Source organism: Homo sapiens, chromosome 7 (genome assembly GCF_000001405.40).
Source record: "Homo sapiens chromosome 7, GRCh38.p14 Primary Assembly".
NCBI lineage: Eukaryota > Metazoa > Chordata > Mammalia > Primates > Hominidae > Homo > Homo sapiens.
In genome coordinates this window covers 50649697-50661734 of record NC_000007.14, presented here as the reverse complement: position 1 = coordinate 50661734, position 12038 = coordinate 50649697, and the positions used below count along the sequence as shown (strand labels likewise).

At 47.8% G+C, this 12038-nt stretch overlaps 1 protein-coding gene across 41 annotated transcripts in view, besides 2 other annotated features; it reads left to right on the top strand.

The window, feature by feature from the left end:
* GRB10 (growth factor receptor bound protein 10) overlaps positions 1-12038 on the top strand; it is a 203386-nt gene that overhangs the window by 131719 nt on the left and 59629 nt on the right. The window lies entirely within an intron of this gene.
* Positions 2146-2315: an enhancer, noted in NCBI's record as "experimental_99457 CRE fragment used in MPRA reporter constructs". NCBI's record gives its function as "activates a minimal promoter by MPRAs in K562 erythroleukemia cells, with activity observed for the non-introgressed 7:50727202 variant allele {active_cell/tissue: K562}" and the evidence as "EXISTENCE:reporter gene assay evidence [ECO:0000049][PMID:34662402]".
* Positions 8218-8848: an enhancer, noted in NCBI's record as "H3K27ac-H3K4me1 hESC enhancer chr7:50720584-50721214 (GRCh37/hg19 assembly coordinates)". NCBI's record gives its function as "activates a minimal SCP1, AML or CMV promoter by ChIP-STARR-seq in naive H9 embryonic stem cells {active_cell/tissue: H9 hESC(naive)}" and the evidence as "EXISTENCE:reporter gene assay evidence [ECO:0000049][PMID:30033119]".

Here is a 12038-nt window from a genome sequence, read left to right as displayed (position 1 = left end):
AGGCCCCAGTGAGTTGGTTGTGGTGTGTGATGCCAAGAACAGATTCACATGTTGAAGAAGCAGAAACCAAGAGCAGGCAGAGAACTGACTCCTACAGTAAATGTGCAGAGGTGCTGAGACAAGAGGGCGGGGTGTCCCCAGGGGCACCCTAGAGAAGAGTGCCGGTGAAGAAAAAGTATAGTAATGCTATTAGGAACTTGTTTATTTATGAACTTAAGACAAGCTCAGTGGGCACTTTGACAGGCCACACTTTCCTTCAGCCAATAAAGATTCTCGTGCAGCTACATAATGAGTTTTTAGAGCACATTTTTCCATTTGTTATTCAAACACAATTAGTCACATAGTTTAACCCTGTTAGTAATAGGACATAAATCTTGTCTTAGCTCCAATCAGCTCTTCTCCCTCTGCTTAATTTTAAAAATTAATTTTCTGGAACCACAGTAATCACTTTGGATAAGGGTTTGTGCATACAATTATTTACTAATGATCAAAATTAGGTCTCCTGAGGCTTTAACTGCATGCAATATGTTAGACCATCTTTGCTGAGAAAAACTAGTCCTGGCCTCCCAGTGCAGGTTGTTTCACAGAATGTATTGCACGGAGAGAATGCTCTCTCCTGCAAATGTGTGTCTGCAACTGGGCCTGTCCCGAGCAGTTTGCTGGTGGGCCTTGCTGAGGATGGACTTCCTCCATCCTTTAGCCCCTTCCACCCGCTGGCAAGCCCTGTTACTCTTAGCACCTCCACAGTCTGCCCGTGTCACCTTTTCTGGTGCCTTTGGAGATCAGAAGACATTGGGGCCTGAGCCTAACTGCAGTTTACCCTGAGTGCTGGGGACCCTGAGGGGTGCTGGCTGCAGTGGGTTGGGTCTGCAGCCCCCAGGGCCTTGGCCCTGGCGGGATGGATAAGATGCTGCGCCATCACAGGATGGTCCCTTGTGGCTTCACGCACGCAAGAGTCAGCATGAGGTGCACTTCAACTCATCCCGCCATTTTCAAGTTAAAATCCTCTGTCCTCGGCCCCCCTCACACCTGCATCTCTAACTCCTTTCCTTCTGCTACTGCGTGGCTCCTGTCTCCCAACGGAAGCCACCTGCCTGTAACCATTTCCCGTCTGCACCGAGAGGCCACGGTGTGGAGGGGGAGCTCCTGCCCACGGCACTTGGAAGGTGCTGGGGCAGAACCCAGCTCCAGCGCTGATGTGTGGCAGCATCTCTGGAAACTTCCATTTCCTGCTCTGTCTGAGGAGGCGGGGCCCTGCTGATGTCTCTGTGTCTTGGAGCTCAGGACAGTCAAATCTGCACCACGGCTGCCTCCCCTCTTGCCGTGTGAACGTGGCAGGACGTCCACTCCACCCCACTTCCTGCATGGACATGGCTCCATGGCTGTGCCCTACCTCCCTTCCTGCATGAATGCAGCACCACGGCTGCACCCCCCACTTCTGTGGTTGTGGCATGATGGCTGCACCCCCACTTCCCATTTGAATGCGGCACCGCAGTTGCGCCTCCCTGCCACTTCCCCTGTGGACGCGGCATGATGGCTGCACCCCCTACTTCCCACGTGAACACGGCACCGCAGCTGTGCCCCCATGCCCCTTTACTGCATGAACGCGGCACCACTACTGTGCCCCACCCCTTTGCCACGTGATCACTGCCTTCATCAGGAGTGACCACGAGACATGTGCTCTTAAGGAACCTGAGGCCCAGGGAGGATAAAGTCATCTTCCAAGGTCATTGACAAATACATCACAAAAAGTGGGTTTAGACTCAGGACCCGAGCTTCTAGCTGTCTTCTCAGTGTGCCACAGCAGTGCCCCAGACGACAGAAATGCATTTCAGTACGCCTAAGTGAACTCTCAACTTGTCATTCAATTACTTATGAGGGGACGCGTGAATCCCTGAAACCGTGCAAGCAAAACCCACACATGTAGCAGATCCCATTGCATTGCTCACCATCATTTATGCCCTCCGGCGTGGCCACCACTGAAGGATGGATGTTCTAACCTTATGGTCCTGTAATATGCTCCTCTAGGTGAGGGGCTGTCCTGGACAGGCTCTAGACAGAGATGAGTTTGCTCTACTGTCTGCCTTCCAAGACTTGGGCTACCCGGAGAAGAGACGTGGGCACACACACTATTGCACAGCTGCTTAGCTCAGCATGGGAGATAGGTGCAGGACCCAGAGCGACCTGGGAGCAGCCCTGCGTCCAGCCTTGAGCGTTGGCAGGTTCGGGTGTCCTCGGTGACTGTGAGCATTGCATTTGAGCCAAGGCTTTAACAGCAGGGTGGCCAGGACATGTTTTTTTCAAAGGGGGGCTTGGCTAGGCTCCCTCAGCTCTCCGTGGTTTGAGTAGGGTCTAGCTTTCTGGGTTTCAGTCTTCCTCTGGCGTTGCTGAGGTGACTGAGATCTCTTCACGTTTTTTACCTCTCATTTTCTAGAATGCCAGTTACCTGAGTTGTCCTGAGGGGGAAAAAGCCATGCAGGTTCAGTAAGTTTGGGAAATTTGGCATCGTCTATCGTTTTCTTGGCAATTCTACATTTCCCGTTTGATTTTAGAGGATCTGAAAAATCTTACAGAAAAAGAAAACCTACCTATTCACTCAAGCTAAGCTAGAGCATCTGAAACATTTGTGATCACAGAAGTGCTTTAGAGACAGCACCTGTAAACTTTACACAGAACGCACTTTGGGAAAGGGTGCTAAATTGCCCATGATTATTTTTAAAATGGTGAATGTCATCCTCACTTTTTTAGACTTTTCTGGCAGCTTTGCTAAAGCGGAGGTCTCTCACAGCTCTCTAGGGACCGCAGCCCCTGCAGTCTGAGAATAATCCCGAAGGCCCGACGTGACGGCACCTGCATGTTCCCGTGTTTGCATCAGAGCAAGTGATGCAATTGCAGCGAGGCAGTCGTGACCTGGAGCAGACCACTTGTTTGGCTAAATATGACACAGGAAATCAGTGCAGGAATCTTATGTGAAATCCCAACTACTAGTGTTTCTCCGGAGTACAAATATCTTTTAAAATATAAACCTCTGAATTTGAGGGGCCTAAAACAGATATTTTACTGTAGCATTGAATACCTCTTGATATCTATAGCTGTCAAGAGCATTGGAAATGTGAGCACTTAAATTATATACGTCTTTCACAGGAAGAATCACCATAGTTTTGCCAAAAATCTAAGTCTGTGCCTTGCCCACCTGTGGCCATCTACGTGAGGCTCCTGTGGACTCAAAGGCAAGGGCAGTGTGCAGTCATTGGTTATCGGTGGCCATCAGTGCTTTCACAGAGACCGCCTATTTTGCTAGCAACAGGAAGTAATTTTCCTTGGCAAACTGATTTGCTAATTCTTGCTGCTGCTTTGACTCGAAATTTCATCAGGTAAGGGGGAACCACTAGACAATGCACTTTCCCCAATTTACCTACCTGACAGCTTCTGCCATAAATGACTGCGAGCAAACAGCCTGCTGGTTTGTGTTTGGTTTTGAGTAGGAATCCACAGTTCACCCACTGGAGAAGCCTGTTACACTCACTGAACGTGGACATTGGCGCTTTATTTATACCTGTGAGCAGCCACGGAGGGACTTTTCTTTTCTCCTGCAATAGGCGCATGTGGCAGGTCCACCCAGTTTAGGATAAAGTGTTCTAGAGTTTACAGTCGAGAAGTGTTAGGCCTCTGGGTCTTGGTTGAGACCCAAGATGAGATGGGCCATCTAGGCCACTGCCTGGACAATGGCCATCTCTTTTCCTCCATGTCTTTTCTGTTTTTCTTTCCTTAGGCTCTCGCCTCAGTCTCTTAACTGGCTGAAGGACAAGTAGTTTGAGTAATAAAAATGTAAAAAAGAAAAAAAAAAGAATTAGTGGAGGAAACCAAGTGAAAGTGTTTTGAAAATCCAAAAAATTCACAAGAGAATTTGGTAAACATCCTCCCTCTGCTGTTGGTGCCAAGTCTGGACATTTCTAGGAAAGAGAGCACAGACATAGTCCCTGTGTGGGAAGGTTTACAAGTACATACCCTCTGCTGGTGATTTTTATTTTTTGGTCCCTGAGAGAACCAAATGCTAATGACTAACATGGTTTATCTTTTACTTTGCCCTAAAATAGCATCTTCGCTGTCATCTTACAACAGAGATTCTCTAGAATCAGGGCAGTAGTTTCTAGCCCTATTTATAGAACCCTGGCATCTTCAGATTTATTTATATGAGGAAATCCCCGAAAAGATTTAAATGGGAACACCATGTACCGGCGCACATTCCTCTCTTTTTGTTCACGGGTAGTGTTTCCGCTCACACAGTCCCTGGTCTCTCTGCAGAATCCTGGAAGGGAATGAGAAGCAGTGTTGCCATGCCAGGAGCCGCGGGAACATCACAGACACTCGAGGAAGTGGGAAGCAACATTGCTTTCTTCTTCATTTAACCTTGGAGCCTAAGTGTGACTGCCCTTTTGACTCTGACCATTGAACTGGCACAAAAACAGTATTGTAACAGTATTAAAAACAAAGTCAGCTCTTTCCATCTGCCCAGAGTTTGGTCGAGTTCCTGGCCCCTCGGCATTTTATCAGGTTTTAGTAAAGGTGGATATAATTTTAGATATGTTTTCAGTTATTTAACATCTCATAAGTATTTTCTGTGTTTCTTAGTGTGGTCTTCCTAAAAAACACTCATGATAGCTGATACCTACATTGATGAGTACCGATTTGTGCCATATTTACCTACTTCACAGTGACCAGATAATTTGCATTGTCGTCCAGTGTCTGTGCTATAAATGATGCTTCACTGGGTGCCTGGAGTGCAGCTGTTGCCACATTTTGAATCCTTTCCCCAGGGTAGACCCTAGAAGTCAGATTCCTACTAAAAGGTTGAGGATGTTTTATAGCTCAGGATGTGTGTTGCTATATCTGTCTGCAAAGACCTGCTTATGTTGATTACCACATCCGGGATAGAGTGAGTTTCGGGACTTCCGAGCCCTGACCCCATTCCTGGAGCCTTTCTCCACCTCTGCATTCTCCCTAATGAGAGAGTGGCTCAGAGGCACCGCATGGTAGCACACGGTGGCTTTGGAAGCCTGCCTTCCCCAGCAGGGGTGGAACTCTGTGTCCCAGGTGGTCAGCAGCTGTTTGCAGGGACTCCAGGATTTGTGTCTTCAGAATACCGCAGACACCTTAGCAAGCCCTCTGGCTTTTCCGTGGCTATTTCTGGGTGTATAGTAATTTTATGACAAGTCAGGCCTGTGTGGCCCTGCAGTGACAGGGATGAAGGAAGAAGAGAGTCTAGTGGCGTTTGCATAGGCTACTGCATAGTCACCACATCGGGTCTCTGACCTTATGAGCTTAGAGATCTCCAGCATGTATTGTTCCAGTAGTTACACATCCTGTCTTTTTCAGCTGTGCAGCACAGCTCACTGCCGCTGCCTCCCTGACATGGTCTCAAGTCCACAGGATCGCCCTGGGACGGAGGATCAGAGTGACCGATAGCAAGCAAGGACCTTGGGTCTGCTTGTCTAAACCCCTCACATGTGTGCACATCTCACACTCTGCGCTCAGCCCGCGCCTGTCTCCTCAGGGTTCCAACTTCCCCTACCAGGACACAGTCAGGAAATAACGCCCTTACTGTCCTCTGTTCCTCTCTTGTGCCCATTCACTGATAGATTTTAGGTGGTTTCTACATGCAGGTACTGCCTGGGTGCTGGGGTCTGAGGCTGGCAGGGCAGACACAGCCTTGCCCTCTGGGAGCCCATAACCCAGTGAGAGAAACCAATGCTAATCACCTTATAGAGGCACATTATCACAGACAGTTTCCAACATGCTGCCAGGACATTCCATCATGTGGGGAGAGCTATCAGTGGGGCCGAAGATGAGGAATCCTTAAGTGCCTTGGAAGGCATACAGTGTTCCAGAAAGAGGGAATGAGGACAGTTGAGGAAGGCACAGGCACCCTGGATGGTGGCTGAGATAGTATAGAGGAGGCAGCGCCTAGGAAGCCAGGGCCTTAGGTGTCCCAGGAAGAGATTGGTCTCCAGGGCAAAGGAGGTCTCTGGCAGAGAGGGGAAAGCAGCTTTGTACTTTGCTTTGCCTGCTGCAGTGTGAAGGATGGACTGGGCTGGAGGAGGTGTGGGATAGCCGGTTGGGATGCAGGTGCAGGAGATGCTGACGTGTTATCTGGACTAGGGCAGTGGAGTGAAGTTGGACAGCTGAGTGCATCTAAGTAAAATTGGTAAGATGTGATTTATTGATTTCTCATAGTTTTCATGGTCTGTAAGACAACTTGCAGTTCTGTGTTTCCTCTGTCTTTAAATATACGTTCAACCTAACGCTCAGGTCATTTCTAGATACCATTCTCCAATAAAAGGAGCCAGGGCTGCCTGGGAGATGCTTAAAGAATGAAGGGGACATGGCATAAAGACACAGGAGCCAGCATGAAGGGCCAGGGGAAAATAATAACTTACGTGTGTGGAAACACCTGGCAGACACTCTTCCCAGGTGAGCCACACTGATGTCACCAAAAAAGGGTCAGGGCAGCATTGTGTGGCTCCTGAGCTGTGGCACCCAGGGGGACACAGCATCTCTACAGCTAATCTCAAAGGGACGTCAGCTGAACCAGAACCAAGAGACATTCTAGAGAATGACCTCGGGTTTTGAGGTCATAGAAGACCCCCACAGAAACAAAAGCCAAAAACAAAACCCAAATCTGAGGAACTAAAGAGCCAAGGCAGTCAAACGCAGCTTGGGTCCTGGACTGAATCATGAACCAAGAACAACATTGTTTTTGTTTTTTTTCCCTTTTCTAAAAGGACAGGAGTCAGACACTTGGCTAAATTTGGATGAGGTCTGTAAATTAGCTAATGGTAGTATATCAGTGTTAATTTCCTGATTTTGATCATTGTACTGTAGTTATGCGAGTGTTCTTGTTTGTAGGAAATATACACAAAGCCATCTAGCAGGAAAGGGGCGAGATGTCTGCAACCCACTCTCCTAGGTAGGTAGGGAAAGAGAATGGGAATTTGATAAAGCGAATGGGGTGAAATGTTAATATTTGGAGTACTAAGGTGAAGAATATATACAGAGAGTTTTTGTATTGCTTTTTGCACATTTTTTGTAAAAATGCTAAACAAATTATTTCAAAATAAAATTATTTCAAAATAAAATGCTAAACAAAGAAAAACCCCTGCTTAGAATCAAAAATGTGCCTCTTAACATGCACTGATGCTGCAGTGAGCTCTTTCTAGAGGAGAAACCTCACAGAAAACAGAACTGACCAGGTCATCCCACAGTAATTCTCCCTGTTGACCAGAACCTCGTCTGTTAAGGCCAGACCAGGGCAAGCTCTGCAGAGGTGCCCTTGCCTGGGACTCTGTGAGGCTTGGCAGCGGCCACCTGAAGGCAGGAGAATATTTATTGCCATCAACTGATCTGTCTCTGGTTTTTCACAACTCGGGATCAAGGCACGCTCTGAGCTGGTGCTGTTGGCCATGGGAAACACTCGCAGAGCCACCTCCCTGGGACCCCGTGGTGCCCTAGGCATCCCCAGGCATTCCCCACACTTCAGGAGAAGCTGGGGACATGCTGCTGCTTCCTTCCTTCTTTCCAAAAGCCATGGAATACTCATAATTCTGTTGGCAGAACACACTGTGCAAAGGGGGTTGTCTCTTCCATGCTCAGCTTCCTTGTGTATAAACGTCATCCGAGGGCGGGGGATTCCTGAGCCTTCAGCCCTTGAGCCTCAGCATACTGTGAAAGGTTCCCGAGAAGACGGAACACAAGGGAATAAAGACCTCATGGTCTCAAGCACAGTGACAGCCGCATGGTTACACTTCTAGCTGGATTTATATTAGTGTCTGTAATCACTTACAGTTCAAGAGGAAGATCTTGTTATCATTGTGAGCCCCTTCCAGCCTGTACTTCAGAGGTCCCTTTTTGATCTACCAACTTTACTTGGGTAGCTTCTTCATGTAGCCACCTGGGGGATGGCAGGGGTGGCTAGTCATGGACCCTGTGAACAGTGGTGAAGCGTGTGGAAGGAAAACTTAAGTCTCTTCCCGATGCATCGTTTCACCAGCCCGGGGAGGCCAGCGGCTGAAGTGGTCTCTGGCAATTTCCAAGGGGAGGAGTGTGGGAGAACTCAGAGGGCTGGGAGGGCTCTTCCTGCCTGGGGAGGGTTGTGGCTTGGAACACATGCAGGGCAGTTGTGCAGAGCCTAAGCTGCACGTGTGTACACACACCTGCACTTGTTGTGTGCTGTTTCCTATGAGATGAAAATGTCAGACCTGAAATCTCTTCCTGAGTCCCCCACTCTCTTGGCTGTCCCAGTTGCAGCGGGTGGGGCTGGCCGAGACAAACAGCTTTTAGTGCAATAGCGTCTGGAGGCTGTGGGAGATTAGTTGTACTCCTCTTGTGCAAGCCCTTATGTATGCTGTGGCTGTTCCCGGCTTCATGGGCGGTGCTGCAGCACAGCACAGACTCTTCCTGCTGTGGCTACCTCCTGCTGCCCCACCACACAGTCCTCCCTCGGAGCATGCACTGGGGCCCACGGCCTAGGGCTGACAGTGCCTAGGAAGACGGTGCCTGCCTGCTGCCCGTGCCCAGGAAGATGCCTTGCTCCTCATCGTACTGGGGCCAGCTGAAGAAGGGCACAGAGGCCAGCAGGGGGGAGTGTGAAGTGGGCCCTGGTATATTGCACTCAGCAGTTGCTCACCTCCTTTGTAACCAGTTACATGAGAGGGGACAAAAATTCTTCATTGTATTCCAGTAAGATTCTAGTAGGTACCAAGAGCATAACTAGGAACAGCTTTGGGAATGTGAATTCTGACCACAGTGAATTGTGTTGTTGAGGGCAGGAATCCAAAGAAGACTGGGCCATTGGAGGATCAAGAGTGAATTATCTCCATGCTGATAATTCTGAGTCAAACTAAACCTGGTGTGCAATAAGCCAAAGGATGAGGCAAAGAAAACGAAGGGGATGGGTAAAAAGAAACATTTTGATAGAAAAATCTGCCGTCTCAGCGAAGTCTGCGTGGTGTCTGCTTTGACCAATCTCATGCTATTAAGATTTTCAGGTATTTGATCGGAGGGCTTGGTTGTTAGCAAGCAGCGGAAGTCTCAGAATCCTTCTCCTCCCACTCTGGAATGACCTGGTCTCTGGACACATACCTGGTGCATGTGGCTTGTCTCTTTCTCTGGTGACGCTGTATGGCCATCTCCCTCAAAGGCATTGTTTGTTCTTTTATTAGCAGTCAGTTCAGTGGCCCAAGTCCCTGGAAGGCGTTCTTCTCTTATTCTGTGTCCACCCTCTTTGGTGTAATTTGGAGTTCCCCTAATAAAGGACAGGTTGCTTCTATAGAAACCGAAGTTGTTCTGTAGGTGAACAACTTTTATGCCATAGAGACTAAAGAGAACCAGATTTGCCCCTGCCATAACCGTGGCCCTGATGGGAACCTAGAAGCTTGCTGCCCAGCCCACCAGGTCTCAGGTACTTAACGGGTGTCTGCAATACTAGCAGTGTGTGCTCTCATATTCTTTTATTATAGATGGTATTCCACTTACTTTTATAGATGGAGTTCTTGTTTTAATTTAGTTTTATATTGTCTCAGCCACTGAATCAGTCAGAACCCTGATTTGGAACTAGAAATACACATTATTTACATCTAGGTTTTTGAAAATTTGAAATCCAAAATTCTACCTACAATTTCCAGAATAGATCAGGGCCCTTCCAAGTGGGGACAGTACATGGAAGCCTGAGATGAAGAGGTTAGAACAGACTGAGTGGGACCTGTGTGGCTGGGCGTCCAGTGAGGGTCGTCAGCAGGGTCCAGCCCTGCCAAGAGGTTGGGTTGGATGGAAACACAGAAGAGACCATTTGGATTTGGTCTTTCAATGCTGACAGATTACCTTCTTCAAAAGAGTGGCTTTGATGTTATAAAGCTACTGTCATGAAAACCACATGGTTTGAGTTGAAGAATGGAGAGTGAAAGTTCTGTGCACTGAAGCATGTACTCAAGAGAGTCAAATACATACAAGGTTAGAATCTTGTAAAAGTGGCATCATTGTTTAATTTAATGTGCTCCGACAACTATAAACTATTTGGATGAGCAGCTGAATTAGGGCCTTATTGCACACTGTTATGGATTGAATTATGTCCCCCTCAGAATACATAAGTTGAAGTCCTAGCCCCAGTTCCTCAGAATGTAGCTTTATGTGGAAATAATGTTGCAGATGTGATTCATCAAGATGAGGTCGTACTGGAGTAGGCTGGGCTCCTTAGCCAATATGACTGGTGTCCTTTTCTAAGGGGAAATTTGGACACAAATAGACACGGGACGAGAATGCCACATAAAGATAAAGGTGGAGATTGCAGTGATGCTTCTGTAAGCCAAGGAATGACAAAGATGCCAGCAGCCGCCAGAACCTCCAGGAGAGGCCAGAAGTGGGTTCTCCCTCCAGACCTCGGGAGGATCAGACCTGCTCGCATCTTGATCATGGATTTCTGTTCTGCGAAACTGTGAGACACTGAGTTTCTGTTAAGTCATCTAGTTCATGGCATTTTGTTATGGCAGCCATGGCAAACTAATACACATACACTGAAATATTTTTAGGTTGATTAATCTGTTAATAAAAAATCAGACCGTAGGAGGAATAGAAAAATATATAGTTGAATAATTAATTGGTCCTCAGATTAAGGAATGAAACCCTAACTATTAAAGCAATAGGTAAAATCATAGTGGAAGATTGCTGGATTTGACCATGAAGAAAATTAATGCTGTAAATCAAATGTTAAACTGTTGATAAGCTGCAAAAGAATATTTGCAATATTTACATTTGCAATATCCTAAATAAAGAGCTCTTATAAATCAGTAAGAAAAAGGTAAGTCTCCTCTCTCTATCCCTTGATTTTTTTTCTCCCAGGAGATTTTCCTACTCCCAATTTATTCACTACTTTCATGAAAAAGACAACTTGTTACTCCTTTTCTTCCCCCTTCTAACTTCTCACCTGGTGTCGTAGCCTTGGGCTTAGTAGGCAGGACCTGCTCTCAATGAGAGCCACCTGCTGTGTCTACCACCTGTTTTATCCATTCCCCATCAGCACTCACCTGCCTGTCTTCCCACCCAAACAGGGGAACACATCCTTACATCTTCCCAGGGCCACCACTCCATTTGCAGCTGCCCCCTTTATCTTCTCTAGGACGTTGAGTCTGTAGTCATTGATTTTCTTTTCCTTCCTCCATGGTCAGTTTCATCCTCATTCCAGAATCATTCCTGCCTGCATGCAGACGTGCCTTGACACATCTCATCTAAGTGAAGCCCTTCTGTGGCCACATTCCTCTCTGGCTGCTGCTTCCTTTTATGCTGCTTTTCTGCAGACCTCCCAGGACCAGCTGCTTGACTCCCTGTCTCTACTTTTCCTCTCCTGGTTTCTCCCCCACCCACCTTGGTTGGCGCTCTGTTCTACTAGGTGCCTGAAATGGGTCTCATCAAGGGGCCTTGTGGCCTGCCTCTAGTTAAGATCAGTGGCCAGTTGGGGGTGGCATCTCAGCAGCATGTGACACAGCTTTGATTCCTAGAAACTTGCTTCCCTAAGTGTTTTCGACCCCAGCTTGTGATCTCTTCATCTCTCTGCTCCTTCATCCCTTCGCTGTCTCCTGCTCTGCCAGGCTGCTTGGTGTTTGGAGGCCCGCAAGCCTCTGTCCTCAGCCTCCCCCACTCTAGTGGTCTTCTCTCTGAGAGACTGCATCTGGCCCCATGCCGTCAGATGCCATCTCTCTGCTCATGACCCAGATCTATAACCAGGACAAGTCACCACTGAAAGGTACCCTCCGTCTTCACTTGGGTCTCTAGTTGCCATGTGAAATTTAACAAAAGAAAATATAGTCGAAGCACACCAAGGCCTCCTCACCTAACTAAAAGGGGTCATTGTCCGCTCAGTTGCTGTGGCCAAGGAAGAGGAGCATATCCTTGATTCCCCCTTTGGACTCAGGTACAAATCCAGTCAACTCTCCCTCTCCAATGTGTCCCATATCCAGTGCTTCCTGTCCTCTCCACCATGCCATCTCCAG